At 33.5% G+C, this 21,814-nt stretch overlaps 1 long non-coding RNA gene across 2 annotated transcripts in view, besides 1 other annotated feature; it reads right to left on the reverse strand.

Moving 5' to 3' along the window:
- The window catches only part of LOC100128317 (uncharacterized), a 115,021-nt gene that overhangs the window by 36,390 nt on the left and 56,817 nt on the right, over window positions 1-21,814 (reverse strand). Inside the window, exons 2-3 of one of the 2 annotated variants that reach the window (NR_126025.1) lie at window positions 12,377-12,451; window positions 11,598-11,668 (exon numbers count right to left, since the gene is read on the reverse strand). This is a non-coding gene — a long non-coding RNA (uncharacterized LOC100128317). Of the gene's footprint in view, window positions 1-11,597; window positions 11,669-12,376; window positions 12,452-13,338; window positions 13,442-21,814 lie in introns of those variants that run through there. The other variant, NR_126026.1, reaches the window with a different exon arrangement.
- Window positions 10,094-11,293: an enhancer, noted in NCBI's record as "P300/CBP strongly-dependent group 1 enhancer chr7:81252185-81253384 (GRCh37/hg19 assembly coordinates)". NCBI's record gives its function as "activates an origin of replication core promoter dependent on BRD2, BRD4, P300/CBP, MED14 and CDK7 cofactors, with strong dependence on P300/CBP, by STARR-seq in HCT116 cells {active_cell/tissue: HCT116}" and the evidence as "EXISTENCE:reporter gene assay evidence [ECO:0000049][PMID:35650434]".

The raw sequence follows: 21,814 nt of genomic DNA on the forward strand, positions 1-21,814 counted from the left end.
ATTTGCTAATTTATTCATTTATGAATGTATATATTCATATAATAAATGGAAGATGAAAAGGGGGAAACGAGGCATTGGTGGAGACGGTAGCACGACCAAAGTAGGATAGCAGGAAAATATTTGTTGTTTAATAAAATTCACAGGCAGTTTTCATTATTCGTTTTTGAGAAAGGCTGCAACATGACCACAAATGCATTTCAGAAAGATTCACATGGAAGGACACTGAGGGTTGATTAGCAAGATGAGAAAATGGAGGAGCAAATAGTAGATTTATAACTTTCTATGTGAGAGGTAATGAGTACCAAAAGCAAGATGTTGTCAGGAACATATAAAGATACTTAAACACTTTATACTTGTAAAACAATCTCTGGCATGTGAAATATGTACTTATATCATAAATAATCATATATACATATAAAGTACTTGCTTTATATAGTATTGCAGTACTATAAAAATGCCTGTGTAAGCTGAAATTGTGTAAATCAATATTAATAATCCATAGGAAAAATCATAATTGTTACAGTATTTTAAAAAAATTTGTCAAAACATACAAATTTTATTATAGCTTAGAAATTGATAGAGGTGATAGAAATAGTATAACAAATATTTAGTTGATACACTGTAAATGAGAATTAAAATGTTTTATTTCTTTGTTAAGAAGGATATTTCAGGAGTAGTTTAAACAGTGCTTGCTGTCCGCTATGGAGCAAGGATCTTTTCTGGGCCTTAGCAAATTATCCTGTTCCTTTCTAGGTTTGGATCAGCTTCCCACATTTTATTATTTGCACTTTCAGTGTTGTAAAATATCTTTGAGATTTCCTTTAATGTGAAGTTTTTTCACAATGTCATTTCCTCCAGGACATCATCATCCTTTGAAGCACAACCACTTACTTAATTTTGGTTAATGTCACCTTCACTAAGTTCTTCTGGCTGCATACATGTTGTTTCTCAAATAGTGGCAGTGCCAATATTCCCATGATCAGGGATTTTTTTTACCTGTTAACTCCATTTATGTTAACTTAGAATCCTGAAAAGTTATTTTCACAGTGTGGCAAATGTTTCTGCAATACTTCATGAATATTACTCAGTTTACTTTCTGAATGTCTTCATGATTTCTAATGCTTGCTTTAAGTGATATTTATCCAGAGATGAGCTAAGGTTAATTGCCTGATCTTCAGTTGTAGTGTCAATGGCTTGTCTGAAAATTCATCTAAAGTTATAGGCTCTAAAAGTTGAAATAATTCCTTGGTCTGTCCACTGACTGACTTAATAAAGTTGCATTTGGTGATAAAATACAATTTTTACATCATAACCTTAAGAAATTCAGGGTGACCTGGAGCATTATCCAGCCATAATAGTTCGTTAAAAGTTAAATTATTTTGGCAACAGTATCTCTCTACTGCTTAGAAAAAGAAGGGTGTATATGATTCAAGGAGTCACAGTGCTAGAAAAATATACTTAATCATACTCACCCTTCAACTGTGGCATCACAAACTACCAAAGAGTGATAGCTTTTATACTTTGATAAAAATAAATTCCACACAGTCTTATTAAACATATAATAAAATAAAATAATCTTCCATATGGCAGTGGAATAGAACTTAGCTTAGATTACCCAGGTCAAGTTCTCAGAAATGTTTGCATTTCAAGAATTCCATGGGATTTCCAGTGTGTAAAGTAGAAATGGTGGGATAAGCTCTCCTTCCTGGACAAAGATCAGGTAGACTTAATGTCCCTTATAAAACATTGGCGTTCCCTAAGCCCAAAATTCCTCTTCTCTAGCCCAACCCATGGCATGTGCAAGCATCACTTGGCCCTCTGCCTTACTTTTTAGGATTTGGGACTGAAGGAACCAGTGTGAATGCTGGCACTCTGGCTTCTGCAATTTCTGTGAATAATAATAATAATGTCCTGTGTATCTGACCCCAAAGTCTTATGTCTTGTACCAGTATACATGAACCTGTGGGAAATCAACCTCTCAGCTTCCAAGTAAGGCAAAATTTCAGACCCTTCACATTTCTTGCCACAAGAAACTCATTATTTTTCTAGTCACCAAAACATATTTTGTGAATGCATAAACCAGCCCCAGGTCAAAACCTGTAGAAGAGAAATCATTTCAGATGTGTGCTATGCCTTGATGGCAGAATGCTACAAACTCCAAAGTCTTACACATTTTCAGGGAAGTGGTAAAGCATCACACTTGCAATCAAAGGTACCAGATTTTTTTTAAAAAAAGCTATTTTATCTATGCACATAGTTTAACTTCCCCTGGAAATCTTTCTTCTTCATTTATAATATGTGGAAAGTTATAATAACTACCTCAGAGCTGTTATGAATATATGAGGTAATGCATAAAAGGAACTAGCCCAATACAGGATATATGAGAAACACTCAACAAATATTTTATATTACTTTAGAGTTACTTAGGATACCTCATTAAATAACTCAAAGTCTAGAATGGAATTTTGTAGACCCTCATATTGAACACCCCCATGGGATTGTGATTTGAATATTTTCGGAAGTAACCTATCCTATTCTGAGTTCTGTTCTCCATCAACACTAGCAGTAAGATTCCTACGTAATGTTATAAAGCTTTCCCTGAAGAATTAAAGCATCTTTACACGTATATATACAGGGACCTCTCATGAATGGTTGGTAACTGGAGATGGTTGCCAGCATGGTGCAATCCATCCTCCATATCCACCATCAAATAGTTGTAATTTACAAACCTGATTATGTCATTTTTATACTAAAACTTTCTTCCTACAGAAGAGAGAGTCCAAACCACTTAGCATGCAGTATTTCACATTTTACTCATTTCTTCTTTTCCCCCTAATGTACCATACATTCAGTGAATTCAATGCTTTTTCATATTCTCTTCCATACTTCCATTACAGATATGATTCTATGCCCAGAAATGCATCTCTCTCATTACTTTCTTGTGAAACTTTACAAAATCTTTAGGAGCCAGATCAAATGTCACTTCCTTAGTGAAGGCATTCATGACTTCCCCGGGATACTTAGACATTCCCTCCCTCTACTATTACCCAAAAGTGTTCTGTGTACTCTCCTATGGCATTTATTCTATGGAGTGTAACACTCTGTTTACATGAATTTTTCCCTATTTGTCTAGCTTGTGTTTGTGTTTCCAGTGCTGAGGACAAGGAAAGGCTTGTTATATATCTAATTGGCCTTTGAATGAATGAATAAACAAGATTTTGTCTATCATATTCTGGATTAAGTTCTATCACGAGTTTTACTCCCTTTGAGTCTTAAGCATGTATATTCTCTTAGAATCTAATACTAAAATCCCAAGCTCTTTGTCAAGTATGTTCTACCAGACACACTGCTGTCCCAAGTTCTTGGAAATGACCATTCTCTCTGCCTGGAAAATTCTTCCCTTAGATGTTCATATGTCTTGGGTCATCACCTCCTTCTAATTTTTGCTCAATTATCATTTTCTCATTGAAATTTACCCGCATCATCTGATTTAAGTAGGAACTCCTCTTTTTTCCCATTCCTTTTTCCCTATCTTATTTTCTTCCATAGAATTTATCATCCTTTAACATACTACGCAATTGTTTAAATTATAATATCTGTTGTCTATGTACACTCACTACTATGTCAACAGTTTTAGGGAAGGTTTCAGGGAAGGGTTGTAGTAGTTTTTTTTTTTTCCTTCAAGGAGGCATTTTCAGTAACTGGAAGAATGTCAGTTTCAATCATTATTGGGAAGAATAACCGTAAGGGACAAACTATGGCAAAGATTTTACATCACATTCTTTCTGAATTCAGTCTCCTATAAAACCTGGCTCAGAGAAAAGTGTAAGGATTCGATTTATGATATTGAAATAAATTTTGGAATGCCTCTAACACAGATTTCATAGTTCTACCTAGGACCAGACAGATAGATTTAGAGATTTGTATGTTTATATAATAGGTGTGTTTGTATGTATGTGAGATATATATGAGGGAACTTCAAAAAGTTTATGGAAAACTGGAATTAAAATACTAAAAATAAAAATATAAACTTTACTTGTCAACATAAGCTTCATCAAGTTCCAGATACTTTTGGAAGCAATAATACCAGCCATTTAGTCCATCTGTAAAGAACTGAGAATTTAACCATGTCAGTACAATCTTTTTTACATTATTAACTGAGGAAAAAAATGAGTGCCCTTTACAGATTTTTAAGAATAGGAAACAGAAAGAAGTCAGAGGAGCCAAGTCAGAACCGTAAGGTGGATGACTAATGATTTGTTATCGAAATTCTCACAAAATTGCTCTTGTTTGAAGAGAGGTATGAGAAGGAGCATTGTAGTGGTGAAGAAGGACTCCCTGGTGAAGTTTCCCGGGGAATTCTTCTGCTAAAGCTTCAGCTAACTTTCTCAAAACACTCTCATAACAAGCAGATGTTACTGTTCTGTGGCCCTCCAGGAAGTCAATAAGCAGAATGCCTTGAGCATCCCCCAAAAATTCTTGCATGACCTTTGCTGTTGACTGATCTGCTTTTGCTTTGACTGGACCACTGCCACCTCTTGGTAGCCATTGTTTTTATTGTTCTTTGTCTTCAGTTCACTGGTAAAGCTATATTTTATCTCCTATTACTACTCTTTGAAGAAATGCTTCTTGATCCCAATTTTAAAAAATTTTCATTAAAAGCGCTGTTCTTGTCTGCAGCAGATCCAGGCACAACAGTTTTAGCACCTATTGAGTGAAACTTTTGCTCAGTTTTAGTTTTTCCACAAAATGTGTGGTAAACAAATTGAGATGTCTATGGTATTGGCTATTGTTTGTGCTATTAATCATCAGTCCTCTTCAGTTAGGTCATGGACAAGATTACTTTTTTTCTTACAATTTGATGTGGATAGTCTGCCACTTTGGGCTTCATTTTCAACATCATCTCATCACTTCTTAAAATGAGTTACCATTTGCAAACTGCTGATTTCTTTGGGGCATTGTCCCTATAAATTTTTGGAAAGCATCAATGATTTCACAATTCTTACACTAAAACTTCACCACATATTTGATGTTTTTGCTTTAATTTTGGTAGAATTCACACTGCTCTTATAGGGGCTCTTTTCAAACTGATGTATTGTCTTTTTCGGTGCCTTAAACTAGGTCCTGTTCAGATATATTATAGCAAATTAGCATGCAATTATTTTGATGCAAAAATATTTTGAAATCCATGCATTGATTTGTCATAATATACAGTTTCCATGAACTTTTTGAAGACCCCTCGTGTGTGTGTGTGTGTGTGTCAGAACTGTCAGACACTTTTGTAAGCGATGAAACCAGCCATTTAGTCCATCCCTAAAGAACTGAGAGTCCTAGGAATCTAACCATGTCAGTGTAGTCTTTTTCACATTATTAACTGAGGAAAAAATGAGTGCCCTTTACAGATTTTTTAAGATTAGGAAACAAAAAGAAGCCAGGGCAGCCAAATCAGAACTGTATATGTGCGCATATATATACAAATTTGTACGCTTATACCAAGTATTGCAAGTATTAACATCTCTATTTAACATTATACAAATGAAATATAAGTAAATAATATATCCAATCAAACATTAAGTCATAAAACAATATTTTTCCCTTTCATTGATTATTTGTTAGCTCCTTCTAAAATATAGCCTAGTTATAAAATAGCCATAGATTTTTAAAGCATCTTTGAATGTCAAGAGCTAAGATAAACAACAGAAGGGCATGCTAAAAACAGTCAATTAATTTGTATTTTCTGGTGAAGCAGGAAAGAACAGAGGAGAGAAGGGGAGGGAAAGGAGATGCCTGGCCCTATTACTCATCCTGAGTCACTGATTGCGTGCCTGAAAAAGTACAGACCTTTCATGGGGAACTCAAGCTCTTTTGAACCAAAGGCTTAAGTAACCCTTGGAGAAAATGGTAGTTTATGCTTTCTGAATTATTATATAATCTTATTACTGGGACAAATTCCCATTCATTATATGAATTCTTTCATATAAGATATCAAACTAACAGATATAGAAAGTTTAATAAGAAACATTGTATTTCTCCCAGTTGATACGTTTATTTAGGACCACAGTATTTTAGCAGTGCTGTAAGACCGTTCAGGTATTTGCTTGTTATTTGGTTGGTCAGTGGGTTTCAATAACTTTGTATTCTAAAATGCCCCCAAACACTTCAAAGAAGCGAAACTTTAAAAAATTGCTGCTAATTTGTCTCTAATGAAAAAAGGTATCCAGTTTGAAAAGCACTGTTTTTGGTTTTGTTTTTCCCTAATAGGGTGTTTATGTTGACAGATGAGGAATGAAGGGGAAAATTGAGGGTAAATGATTTTTTTTCTCTTTTTGCTTTCTTAAAATGTTCTTTTCAAGGTTTAATAATGTATGCAGTTTGGAAAAGTAGTCAGGCCTTGAATTCTTAGTTATCAAGCAGTATATGGATCACACCCAATCAATCTGTCGCAAAATGAAAATTGAACAAAGTTTTGCTGAAATTGAAGTAGGCAGTTTTAAAGGATCAAAGTTAATTATACTCGTCCCTCAAATTCCCAAGGTTATGATAACAAAATAACTCATCAATACTCTTACAAATTAGGCCTGAACATATGAACACAATCTTTGTCAATTTGGTGTCTCTGTAACGAGTGATGAATCTAGCAGAACATGAGGCAAGGTGGCATTGTTTGGAGATGGAAAAAAGAATTATAACAGTCACTTCTAACATTCTCATTTGCACATTAAAAAATCAAGACTACAAGGAAGGTGTGTTGGACATTTCACTCCATTCTTGGAGAACTCAATTTATATATATGGTTTGATGGGGAACAGAACAGGAAGACGGCCAGCCTCTTAGCAGCTCTATTATTTATAGCTTCTCCAAACCCCTCACTTGTCTTATTTTTAAAATGAAGATAATATCAATTTCCTCACAGGTTTTTAAATAATTTACTTATATATAAATACAAACCTATTTACATATTTTATACTATATGTTTATATTTTAAAATTATTCATATTTGTGTATATATATGACATAGACAACAGGCATATGACACCCTTGGCTGAGAGCTATTCAAAATTTTAAACCCCATTGTCTTTCTCTGCATTGTGAGTGAAAACTGCCTCTTTATCTTCCTTTTTATCATCTTAATCTTGCTCTTTGGAGCTACCTTTAAAAAGCTTCATTGCAATTATTTTCATTGTTTCGTGAATTTGAAAAGGAATATCACAGTTTTACTTAATTGTTCATTTGTTCTATTCTCTAGGTTAAATATTACTAAGCCTGTAATTGTTTTTTAGCTGATATAATCTCAGATGCCCTCCAAAATATATGCATGTTTTTGAAAGGCATATCTGTAAATTTCTTAAGTGCAATGTCCCAAACTGTACTTGGTTATTTTGCAAATGGAAGTTGATTGGTTCAGAGTAGTATATAATCCTCTTGAGGTATACATTATACTTACATGATAACAGGGTAAGATTGCATTGACCTTTTATTTTCTACTAACTTTTGTTTGGATACTTCTATAAGAAAGACAAAATGGCTACTAATAATCATATTCAGAGATACTTAGGTTTGAGTCCTAGCTACATAGTCACAAAACTTAAAATGTATCTCATAATGTCTATTATATTATTTGAATAAATGTTGACTTTAAGTCTCATTGTTCTCTTTTGTAAAATAGGTATATAGGTTGTGCTAAGTATGGTGTCTGGTACATAGCACACACATTATGTGTGATATTAGCAGGAAATTATCATTTCTTAATTTCATTTTCAACATTATAAAGTATTCTAAGAAGCCACGTCTTACAGCTAATTTGCCTTTTTCCTTCTTGAAAAGGAACTCATCTTGATAAGCATAGTTTTAAAATACTCCCTTTCTTTTCAGTCAAGGGAATTTTAACCAGTGAAGCCTTTTCCTTGAAGATGGGGAAATCCATAATATACAGGAGATGTCTTTGATCAAACTCAATATTTTCTGCCTTGGCCATCATATATATTAAGATGGCATGGTCACTTTTCTCCAAATGGCATTAACTTTACTTAATCCTTGTTCTTGCAGATTCAAATCCAAGATAGCAGCTCACCCTGCTTACTCCCTTTACCTTCTTGAGAATCCTCTAAGACAAAATAAATATATAATAAAGGCTCTTATTTTAGTAAAACATAATTTGTACCTATCTATATTTATTGCTATCTGAGTTGTCACATTTCCACATCACAAGTACTTCTTGTCTCTGACATAGTTTTGTGATCAAATCCTCGTCATATCCTGTAGCTCACCTTTCAACTCGTCCTTTTAAATGGCTGACACATTTACATTAATACCATACAGCCTACCGTATATTTCTATTTTCCTTCTCCTTAAAACTTCACCAAAATTTTCCCCACCATCCTATAGCTTTTTATATATGTGGATATTTTCTTGATACCAAATATAGCTATATTTGATTTTTTTGTGAGAAAATCTGCCCTTTCTTTTAAATATTACAGGCACGAGCCCAGTATGACTAGTGTTAGTTATTTTCTGATTTCACATTTTTCCAATGAGTATTTATAGAAACTTGTAGATGTCTGAAACATACTTTCTGTCAATTACTGCTGTGATTATTGGTAAGATGACCATCTACTCTATCCTGGCATAATTACCAAGTGTTCTTTCACTCTCAAAATGACTGTTTTGAAGGGTGAATTATACAGTTTCTCTTATTGGAAATATAAGTTTGCTTAGAAATGTTATATCATATTGATAAAACTATTAAAAACTCAATATAAACTGAAGATGTTTTCAATCATATATATAAGATTTCAAGGCTAACTGTCGACATTGTATTTATACTCTGATTTTAAAAAGAGTTCGATTACATATTAATTTTAGTATAAACATTCTAAGGCAAGCAGCCATCAGACCCATTTGCTAATATGTTAATGAGGAAGTGCATACATGTATATTAGTTGCATTATGACAATTCTCACAGTATATGAGGATGATTATTATGGTGTCTATGCATTTCAAGATGTATTTGAGGAAAATAGCCAAACATATACATATGAATGATATGCTAATAATGTGATCATATGATCAATGTTCATATTTAGCAATATAATGTGTTCTATAAGATATTCTCGTAAATCTATATATTTTGGTTTTCCACTAGTCCCAATAACATCTCTGCTCAAGCAGTATAGAACGTTTAGATTTTTTTTTAACTTCTTCCTATTGTTCTAAACCACCTAGGTTATGTATACTGCACTTTCTGTGTCTTTTTCCTGTGGCAACTCCCACTTATCATTAAATACCATCCCCAGATGGAGTTAATTATTCCTTCCATTATCACTGCACTCCCTTCAAAAGCATTTTAATTGCCTGTTGATGTATTTCTTTCCTATCTCAAATTATGAGCACCTTGAAAGCAGAGATCATTCATTTCTATCATCATATTGTATGTCTTGCATACAATATGGAATTCAGTTAATAATGGAATAATATGTGAATGTATGAATTACATGAATGAATGAGTGAATAAATGAAAGTGTGAGTGACTTACTAAATGTGTAATGGTTATGAAATTTAGAGTACAACCAAACGTGAAGAATGCAGCCTTTTTACTTCCTACTTATAAAAATAATTGAGTGTCAGCCAGGCGCGGTGGCTCACACCTGTAATCCCAGCACTTTAGGAGGCCAAGGCGGGCAGATCACCTGAGGTCGGGAGTTTGAGACCAGCCTGACCAACATGGAGAAACCCTGTCTCTACGAAAAATACAAAATTAGCTGGGCATAGTGGCGCATGCCTGTAATCCCAGCTACTCAGGAGGTTGAGCCAGGAGAATCACTTGAACCCACGGGGCAGAATTTGCACTGAGCCAAGATCATGCCATTGCACTCCAGCCTGGGCAACAAGAGCGAAACTCCATCTCGACAATAATAATAATAATAATAATAATAATAATAATAATAATAGTAATAATAATAATTGGGTGTCAAATGGGACCATATTTTGGTATTACAGATTAGAAATCCATTTTCCTCCCAAGAAAAAAAGTGAGCAAAATGATAATAATTAAAATCAGTTTTCACATAAAAATCCAAATTCCTAGCTTCCCTTGGAAAATCATAAGATTTGGCAATACATAGTATGCATTCCTAAATGACAACCATTGGCTCGAGTTAAACAGTAGCTACTTCTTTGAGTACACAGTCCCCATCCCTATATTCTATACAGGATGTCTCATTTATTATTCGTGTATAAATTTGCCACCCAGGATTCAGTGAGTTCTATTAAAGCACTAACGTGGGATTGTTTTAAGTTAAACATCACCAATTTCAGTAAAAATGAGTGACAGACATTTTAGGGAGGAGAAAAGGAATGGAGAAATATGTAAAACTGAGGCATATTTAATGAAAATAATGTAAAAGGCCTTGTCTGAAACTTAAAGGAAGCAAAATAGTGCAATGTTTAAGAGCCTGAATTTTAGATTTGGAGAACTGATCTAGAATTTTGCTAGATTGGACAAACTGCTTAATTTCATAGAGGTTAAGTTCCCTCATTAGAGAAATAGAAGCAATAATAATTATAATAGTTTAGATCTACCTCTTAGATTTGTTGCAAGGATTAAATATAACCATATATATGTAGGCTTGGTTGAGTGTAAAGGTTTTAGACATGCCTAGACATGCTCAGACATTTATGATAGCCTAAGACAAGTCTTATCCTAAGACAAGTCAAAGACATATATAGAGAAGGGCTACAGGAAGAAGGTGAAGGAGAAGGGGGAAGCTTTCTGAGAGACAAGCATCAATGCCTGGAGCCACATCTAACAGCTTCATCCACATTTTGCAACAGTACTTAGTGTAATCTGGACATCCCAAGGGCCTCTGCTGTCTTCCCTTCAAATGTGCATATTCTGTTTAGACACAGCAGTATCTTGCAGATGATTCATTGGGAGATGGTAGGTTTCATTGGAAGTGGTACAATAAAAAGGAGAGATAGTGATACCCAGAAGCTGCCTAGCAGACAAAAGGTAGTACGGCAATAGCAAGTGTCTTCATGAGTGCCAGTGAGACACTTTCAGAAACATGTCTGAGGGTTACTTTATTAGGCAGCTAATATCCTTTGTGATAAGAAGAGGCAAAGGCCAGTAACATTTGTAAAATAGCTACTATGACATTATCTGACAATTGCATTATATAGGTAACAAAATACCAAGTGTGGTATTTTAATATTTGAAGAATTTTCTATGTATTCAGAATCCTCTGTGTAGCAGAGGTAACTTTGCATTCACCAACACCCATATCCTATTCTTCCTGATTCACGGCTACATCTGAGTCCTTTATGTGTGGTTAGTGAATGTGGAAGTGCTGTACACAATTCCAGGCCTGTCACCTAAAAACCTCCAGAATGAGCCTATTAACTCTCTGTGATGATCAGACACAGAACCATCTTCAGTGATCTTTGAGCCCTACTTACTGGGAGAGCCACACAATTTAAAGAACTTTGGTCCCTAAATGACAATGCTGAAAACTACCCATCAAACAGTAACATCTGCAATAGGCTTGAGTGAAAAAGAAATGTCTGTTGTGTTAAGCCACTGGTATTTGGGGGTTACTTACCATAACAAATAAATGTGGTCACCCAAATATTCTGAAATACCATCTCTTCAGGTCATTTCAGTTATCTGAGTCTATGTAAATAAGAAAAAAATAACAGCCAGAGCTAGCTAAAATCAGAAACCACAAGCAGTCTTTGTTCACAAGTAAGTAGTTATTTGATCTGTCCCACAACCATCATTATTTCCAATTTTGCATTGTCTACCTGAGAACTATCAAAAGCACGTCTGTCCTACTCTGTTCCCCATCTGGAAGAAAGTAGACATGTTCAAACTTCCATAGCCATTTCTGCAGTATTGTTAAAAAATCAGTGCACACTCACAAACCTGTACTTTTCTTCCTAAAATAGGGTGTTGACCTCAAACAAAAACAGGTTTAGGCTACATCTACATGGGTGACCATGTGTGGCATAAAATAGATTTTCCAGCATGCGTTTATTTGGCAATGACTTAAAAGTGCAACCAGATGTTTTCATAGAGAACAGCTCTTTTAGCCACAAATGTTTCCAATTTAAATGCATTTGTTTTGACTCTATTTTGCTGCAGATGGAAAACATCCATTTTCTTTCTTTCCATTGGGGATAGACAGTGAACGTTGGCAAATCTCATAGAGAATGATTACCAATGTAGACAAAACTTCGGTGAGAGCTGAATCTCCAGGAGAAAATTTTTAAAAGACAAGTTTGCATTTTAAACAGGTTGGCTCTTTTAAGACCATTTTCCCCCTCTAATTTGTACCATAAGTCTTAAACATCTGTATGTGTTTGAGCCTAGGGAACTTACCTTACTTTTAAGTGATAAGTCAAACAGATCTATTCAGAATGACAGCATAGCTTCCGGGCGTGCCATTGATAGTTACTGCAAACAGATATTTCAGATTTTCTTATCAAAATGTGAATTATGTAGGTGTGCTTTACTAAATTTTCTTGCAATTAGCAGGTTGAAATATTACAGGAATTGTAAATGTCTTTATAAAAATAACAGAAAAGCTTTTCTTATTTTTTCAAAAACAAACTAATGTGTACGTGACAGAGTATAAAATGATCTTGGCAAGAGTACAGATTTCTGTTTTAAGAAGCTGGGAGTTATATTTTAACTCATGAAAAGTAATGTTTTCTTTAACCAAATTATCCTTAACATTTGTTGTTTTAGTTTAACTCTATGATTTCTGAGAAGCTTTTGAAAACAAGAAGATATTTTAAAATTTTATTTCCTGTTTTAGACATTTAAATGAGTAAAAAAGGTCCAAATACTGTTTTGAGCAGTAAAAGTATTGTTTTTCCCCTGGAAGAGTAAAATCTCTGTCAGCCAGACTATAATACTTTCACAGACTGAGCACTGTGATACACATATGCTATTTTAAATGTATAGACCCTGTAAGAAGGAGCTAGAAATGCTAAAATGAATATTAATTTTTGCAGTAGTAATTAGACTGATGCAAGAACAATTGTCTGTTTTTCTCCTATGTCTTCCCACTTGCAAGTATTTCAGTTAAGATGTCATTCTTTGTGGAAAGTATTTACATATATGTTTTCTTAGTTTTTCCTTCTAGATAATATTAACTTTTGTTAGATATCTTTTGATTACTTTATCTGTCATAGATATTCCAATGAATTTTCAGTAAATTAAAGTTCATCTTTTAAAAAACCACTTCACCCACTCTTCAAACTACCTGAAAGAGTTAAGTATTCACCACCTACTACACATAGTCACTTTGGCCTCATTATACAGGATATTGTTCTTACCAATGATTATCTGTTGAGGGAAATCTGGGTTTCTCCTAGACCCCACTTAAAGAGAGGAACACTGTGAGATCTTGGCCCTGTTGCAAAACCTCTCCAGTCATTCTCCCAGTTTGTTATCACTGGGGAAATAACTTATTTTGCCAGACTGCAGAGCTGGACAGGGTTCTAAGAATGTAAAGTAGTCATAGACTGTTTAAATGATCCATTGGAATTGACTGTTGGCTGGCAGAAGTTATCGAAGTTATCTGGAAAAGAAAAAAGCCATGGTTCTCCAATTTTCCCCTAATAGTACTATGTTGTTTAATTTGTAAATTATAATGATAAATAGCAAATATTTTCACTTTACTATTATCTCAATCTGAAATACTATATATGATGTGAGTTTCTAATGGGAGAATAAAAGAGAAGACTATCTGTATTCTACTTGGGCTACATAATTCATGCTACATTTAATTTTTAAAAATTCTACAGCTCTATATTTTTTTCTAAGTAGTTTAGCTTTTTAAAATTATAAAGCATTTTCAGTAGGAATATTTTATACTATCATAAAACATAATTCTTTCTTTTTAAATTCGTTGATATTATATTATGCTTTTGTATGCATTTTTACATTACATTATGCTTAAAAGCATAGTTTTTGTGTTTTATTTAAATTAAATGTCTCAATATACCCTTGCCTCTTTTAAAATACTATTGAATGTTTTCTAACGTGTAAAGAAAGACACTCTCTCCTGCATACACAGCTTGACATTTAGTTTGTCAACTTAATATATGAGAAAAGTGTAAACAGAATATGGAAATAATCACCATAAAATTTTTATTTTTTTAACTATTATTTGGAAATAAAATCAAATTTCTAAAATTATATTAACAAATTAAATATTTACAATTATTTTTCCAAGTATCAGAAGAATTAATGTTCAAGAATTAGCCCATAGAATTAACTTATTTGGTATGGCTTATAAATCAGTTTTCAGATGAATAACATGAATTTTCCCAAGTAATCACTCTTATTGCCATTCTTGTCTTAATGTGAAAATTTATTTTTTTGTCCACTGGTTTAAAGTCTTTAAATGTAGCTAATCTATTTGAAAATATCTTGAAAAATTGCTAGGCCAGTGAGATTCATAAATATCAAGTTACTGTCTTGTGAATTACATTTTTCTTAAAATGTTTGCTTTTACTATTTCACATGCACTTAAGGGATGAATGTTAAAGTTTTTGAACCTATGTATATAGCTTTCAGTTACTTTCATAAATGTATGTGTGCCTTTTTAAAAATCAGAAATTCAAGAGAATCCAATCAATACTTTCTATTACTTTATAGTTACAGAATGTAGTCAGAGTATAGATAAATGCTACTTTGATGATTATTTGCTGCATAGACAATGAAAATCAATGTTTCGTGCTCTATGAAAGTGAAAATAACTTAATTTTAGGAATTTCAAATAAGAGTAGATTTGTGACATAATTTTCCTAAATTTAGAAAGCTATTGTTAAAATATATGGTACAAAAAGTATAAGACGATGAATGTAGTAAACAATAATTTCCTTTCATAAATGATGTCATTGACTTATGGGAATTACTAGGCTGTACATCTGGTACTTAGTGACTAATACTGAGCAATCGAATCAGAAGATCTTAATTCAGTAAAACTGAGTAATCATAAGGATGTTAAGACTTCCTATAACAACTCAATCTAGCCTATGAAAAACATGGTTCTGTAAAATCAGAATACTTGTCTTTGAAATTTATTAATATATGTTTAGCACAATTTATTGAAATCTGTGGAAAACTAAAGTTCCCATTATTCTCATCACAAATAATTACTTAAAATTTAATGTATCAGGAGCCATGAACTAAAAAATATAAAGTAGTCCCTAAAATAAATAAGGTCTGAACAGAGACTCAAGAGGATAATCGAAGAGTCGAAACTTGGTAAACAACAGACTCTTACTTTATGACTAATCTTAGTCACTGATTTATATCTATATTTGTGTAAATTGAACTTTGGCGAAAATAGGATAAATTAATAAGGCAGTAAGGCTTCTAACAGTGACCTTGGGATATTCATTATAATTATGTTCCTTTGTATTCCTTGTCTTGAAAGGGAAGCCACGGGAGCTTATATTCTTGAAATACAGATTTTGCCTAGTCTTTCTGAGCCTTCATTTAACTATACTTTATTCTCCACTCCTAACTCTTTATCCTATCACTTACTTCAAGAAACAAAAATAACAGACATTTCAAAAATACATTCTCAATTTAATGTACATGACATTCTATTCTTGTTTTGTTTCTGCATTAATGAGAATTATTCACTCATAAATCTGTATCAGCTGTTGATGTGAAAATTACTAGAATTTTAAGACAAATAGAGTACCAGACAATGATATACAATTAAAATGCTTTATGATGAAAGCCATAAAATCTTGACATTACACCTATAGATTAATTAGAAGTAATGTAGGTAGTATTCTCTGTATATGCAAATAATTTATGCTGAACATGAAAGCAAATGGTTAGAAATGAAAATGTAATCTGCAAATTGCTAAGGAGATTTGATTTCAAAATCAGAAAGCCTAGATGACCATACTGCTTCCAAATCTGCTCTAGTATTTGCATACCAATTCTATGTATTTGGCAAGTTACGTGATTTCCCTAAGCTTTAGTTTCTTTTTCTGTAAAATGGATATAATAAAAATATCTACCCCAAAGTATCAGGTGAACCAAATATGAATTTATGCAAAGTTCTTACTACAGAGCTAGGCAGATAGTAAGCATTTAATAAAAGGCTGGCTAATCTTAATAAAAATAATACATTGTAAAACAATTTTAGTTATTTTATGTTTTGTACCATCTAGACATGTCAAAAATATAGATTACTATATTTGTTTTTAGATTCATGTGGTGTAATTAGATACTAAACTGCATATGCAGACTATTGTTTATCAACTGAATCTGTCACCATATTCATGCATGTGCTGGGTCTTTTGAAAGACCAATTATAAGCAACAAAAATACAATTTCAATGCTTATGCTTGCATGTTTACAATCTTGTTAGTACTCTGTTAGCAATGAAAATTACAATATTGAATTTGTTAATATGCTGGAAAACCACCATCCCATGTATGTTATTAAAGTCATGTTTAATTGTTTCTCTAAGTGTAAAAGACAAAACTTTTTTCAGTCATAATTTACAGTTTAAAAAGCTTTAATTTGGTATCATGAAAATGAAAATATGGTGATATGTTTTTTAATGAGAAAAGGAGAGAAAGACATAAAATGTAACCAATATGGCTAAATGAATTGAAGTAAAATAAGTTGACATTGTGTTTCATGAATAACAATTGCATAGTAATTAAAGAAAAATAATATTGTTGGTATAATTTATCATCTAGTATGTGGAACTCATGTTTTGACCATTAATTAATTAACTTGTTTTGCTGAAAAATGATATATTAAACTAGTTTTCATTTGAATTTAATTTTGTTCTATTTGTAAATATGCTTGGGATTTATAGTTCTATATAGCTATAAACATTAAGAGTTTATTCTATTCTGACTATAAACCATTTCCAACCTAGTGGTATGTTCTGAGCCATTCCAAACTTAGTGGTGAAAAAGAACCATCATTTTATTTTGCTCATGGATTTTGCAAATCAGGAATTCATACAGGCCACAGTGGAAATTGCTTGATTCTGCAAAAGCATTGGCTTATAGCTAAAACTATCTGGAGGTTTCTTTACCCAGGTTCTAGCGCTGAGATGAAACTAAGAATGGCTTAGCTGGGATTATCAACCAAAGTGCCTGCAGGTGACCTCTCAATGTGGCTTGGGCTTTTCAGACATGAGTCTTCAGACTTCTTACATTATGACTTAGAAATCCAAGACCAAGTTATCTAGGAAACAAGGTGCCTGATCTTTTATAATGGCCACACAAGTCACGCAATATTACTTCTGGTATACTCTATCAGTTACATTGTCATGGAGCACTCAGATTCAAGTGAAAGAGACCTAGACCTGATTTCTTGATGGGAGAAATGTCAAAGAATTTGCCACCATTTTTGAAAACTACACTTGTGTGCCTTCTGACCATAAATTGTTTATGCACATAACACACAGGAAAAATGAACTTACTCTCTTCCAAGACCCTCAAATGACTTGTAAGATCAAGTTCATACTACATAATTTCATTATTTAAATAGAACCAGATACAGTTGAGGCTCCTCAGATGCAATTTTTTTATTATTACAGTTCATTTAGATCCATCTGTCTCCTACCACTACCACATCTGACATTCAATGGTGGGATTACTTCAACAGACATTTTTTTTTTCCTAGAGTGAAAAAGAAGGTACATAAAAGTTGCTTCTAGTTCGTAACAATTCTGTAAACCAGCCAGCCCTACCTGCCATTATTTGATTAGGACCGAGGCCTGCTCCCTGAAAATGATTATCTGCAGCATGTGGCTCCACCTTGCCATTTGTATCATGTTCACATTTTAGTTTACTGCCCATAGACATTTGAGGCTATAAAGGCCTCTTTTTATTTTATATTGTTCACATCCCTTTCAATCTAGGCTGGATTCTACTAAAAACTCTGTCAGTGTTTTATGCATCAGTATAATTCAATTCATTAGGCAAAAGCCATATCTATAAATATCTTTCACTTATGCCTTTTGCTGTCTGTCTTAAGTCCCATTACTGTGTGGGACTGCTGTATGACGAAACCCTTAAGGTTCCTAGAAATCCTATTTAATAGTATCTCCAAGACTTGTTATCCTTAAAATCCTTGGGAGGTCTTATGTCTTCCTGAAACATACTTAAGAAAAATATTTTAACTCATTTTGGGATCTTAACACAGAGTTTTTCTCCCAAACATTGGCTTCATTTTTACCCCAAAGCCATGTTTTCTTGACAGCATTCCGGATCTGATCTTCGTCTTGATGTCTTTCTTTGAGATTCCTCTGCTGGCTGGAAAGACAGTTCTGGGTTCCCTGTGTGTTTTCTCTAAATTCTACTTGAAAACGAATGGTTTGTTCTTTAGTTTATCTCTCTACTCTAAAATTTTAGTATAAGAAGCTAGAAGAAGTCAGGTGCTACCTTTTAACATCATGACTGGAATTCTTACCCATAATAGGGATTCCATTAGGTACATTTCATTTTTTTTAATGTTACTACAATGCAGTGATGTGAAATTTTCTTCTACTGCATGACCAAAGTCCCCTTTCCTCAAGCTTCCAGCAACATTTTCCTCACTTCCATGTAAGCCTTTATGGATAGGTTCCTCAAGGACAGCAGACTTCTAAGTAATTGGTCCCCCAACTAGCATGATATAGGTTTTTTAATGAAACTCCCCTAAGATTTTTGTCCTATTCCCAAATTATCTTCCTGTTTTCTGTTTTTATATAGCAAACCCCCAAACCTTAATGACAAAAACAAACAAACAAACAAAACAAACAAACAAAAAAAACAAGCAATCTTCTCTTGCTCATGGTTCTGTGTCAAAACAGGTGCTGGAGAGGATGTGGAGAAATAGGAACACTTTTACACTGTTGGTGGGACTGTAAACTAGTTCAACCATTGTGGAAGTCAGTGTGGCGATTCCTCAGGGATCTAGAACTAGAAACACCATTTGACCCAGCCATCCCATTACTGGGTATATACCCAAAGGATTATAAATCATGCTGCTATAAAGACACATGCACACGTATGTTTATTGCGGCACTATTCACAATAGTGGGTTGGAACCAACCCAAATGTCCAACAACGATAGACTGGATTAAGAAAATGTGGCACATATACACCATGGAATACTATGCAGCCATAAAAAAGGATGAGTTCATGTCCTTTGTAGGGACATGGATGAAACTGGAAACCATCATTCTCAGCAAACTATCGCAAGGACAAAAAACCAAACACCGCATGTTCTCACTTGTAGGTGAGAATTGAACAATGAGAACACATGGACACAGGAAAGGGAACATCACACTCTGGGGACTGTTGTGAGGTGGGGGGAGGGGGGAGGGATAGCATTAGGAGATATACCTAATGCTAAATGATGAGTTAATGGGTGCAGCACACCAACATGGCACATGTATACATATGTAACAAACCTGCACATTGTGCACATGTACCCTAAAACTTCAAGTATAATAATAATAATAAAATTAAATTAAATAATGAAATAATACAATTAAATTAAATTTAAAAAAAGATTTAAAGACAGTATGGTAGAGAGAGCTTGCCTCTGCTTCATAATATATGCAATCTCAGCAGGAAAAACTGGACTATCTGGGAGTAACTTAAATGGCTGGATTGAAATGATCTGGACCCTTTTTTGTTCATGTATCTTGTACCTGGGCTGGGAAGACTCAAAGGCTAGATTCATCCAGAATTGTTGAGCGGAACTGCTATACAAGGTTTCTCCATTTGGCCTGGCTTTCTCACAGCATGGGATTTTTGGGGTATTCAGACTTATATGATGACTCAGTTCTTTAAAAAGCAAGAGTTCCAGCAAAAGGTAAAACCCACATAGCATTTCATTACCTAATTTGGAAAGCCACATAAGGTAACTTGCCACATTCTTGCATATGAATTAGTCACAAGCCTGAGCAGATTCAAAAGAAAAGACTAGAATCCACTTCTCAATGGGATAAGTGTCAAAAATTATGGCACTATGTTCTAAAACAACCATAATATATAAATCATACATATAAATAATAAGCAAATAATAGTGACTTCTTGTTTTTAGTATAGAAATAACTCCATGTACATATTCTTAAAATACATGCTTCACATATTTATTGTTGGAAAACTGATCTAGATTTTTCTACAAATATCCAACTTAACATAAATATTTCTTTAGTTTATATTTGGTTTGAATATGCAACACAGTCTCCAGGAGTGAGCTGATCAAAATGTGAATATATGGAATAATGTTATACACACTTGCAAATTTATCAGAAAGCAAATTAACTTTAAAAATCCAAAACAATACCAAATATATTGCCCTTTCTTTTTATTAGTCTTTCCAATTAATAAAAGTATAGTCTTCTCTTTCTGACTTATTTAACTATTCCAGTTTTTTATATTATATCTACTTTTTAAAAATTAGAAATTCATACAAGAAATTTTGGACAAAAGTATGTAAGTTGTTTCATATTAATCTTTTAATTAAAACAGCTTTCTGAAAGCATCAGGCAGCTAGAATTTTCAGGGCCAAATACAGAAGAAGAGAAAAGAAACACAAATTGACCAGTATTTTTCTCTGCCCTTAAGATTATACCTAGACCAGCTCTGGTACCTCACACCTGTAATCCCAGCACTCTGGGAGGCACAGGCAGGAAGATCATTTGGGGTCAGGAGTTCAAGACTAGCCTGGGCAACATAGCAAGACCACTTATCTACAAAATATATATAAATAATATATATATTATAATAATATAACTTATATATTATATTATGACTCATATATAAGTGTGGTGGCACACATTTGTAGTCCCAGCTACTTGGGAGGCTTAAATGAGAGGATGGCTTGAGCACAGGAGTTCAAGCTTGCAGTTAGCTATGATCATGCCACCACATGCTAGCCTAGGCAGCAGAGCAAGACTCTATCCTGAAAAGTAAATAAATACATAAAACCGTTTTTTATTCTGAAAGCTGGAGGTGAGAAACTAAGTAGGCAAATGTTTTAGTAGAATCAAAGATTTTGTTAAAGAAGAGGATACTAATAAATCCAACAGATTTTCCGATGAGACTCAGATGTACTACATCACAGGAGTCATAGCACTGCATTATAGAAATTTACCAGGTTTTGGAAGTACCAAAGGCCATATTTGATAAATTTTGCCAAATAAGAAAATGTTATTGCAGAATAGAAAACACAAAAAGATTACAAAACTGAAAATTAAAAATACAAAAACTGGAAAGACAGCTTGAGCTCAGGAGTTCGAAGCTGCAATGAGCTATAATGGCGACACCGCAGTCCAGCCTGGATGACAGAGCAAGACATGGTCTCTTAAAAACAAACAAACAAATATAATACTATAACTGAAACTAAGAAATTAATATGTAAACAAAGTTGAAGAGAGACTTAGTAAACCGAGAGATGAGAATATATCCTACTAAATAAAGCTACAAAGGATGCAAAGTGTGGAAGTTACACCAAAAACTATTAAGCAAACATATAGAAGAGTTTTTAAAAGTCTAGCATACATGTAATTCAGTTTAGAGATGGAAAGAAAGTATAAAATTGAGAAAAAACAATATTTGAAGAGATGACAGCCAAGAATTTTCCAAAACTGACAAAAGATAACAAATTACAAATTCCAGAAGTACTACATATACCTAAGTAAGATAAATACGAAGAAAACCACATCTAGTGGCAAAATTTACATTAGCTTAAAACTAAACATAAAGAGAAACTTTTATGACAATCAGAAAAAATTACATATTAGCACCAAAGGAAAAAAGT

This window comes from Homo sapiens, chromosome 7, assembly GCF_000001405.40.
Source record: "Homo sapiens chromosome 7, GRCh38.p14 Primary Assembly".
Lineage (NCBI taxonomy): Eukaryota > Metazoa > Chordata > Mammalia > Primates > Hominidae > Homo > Homo sapiens.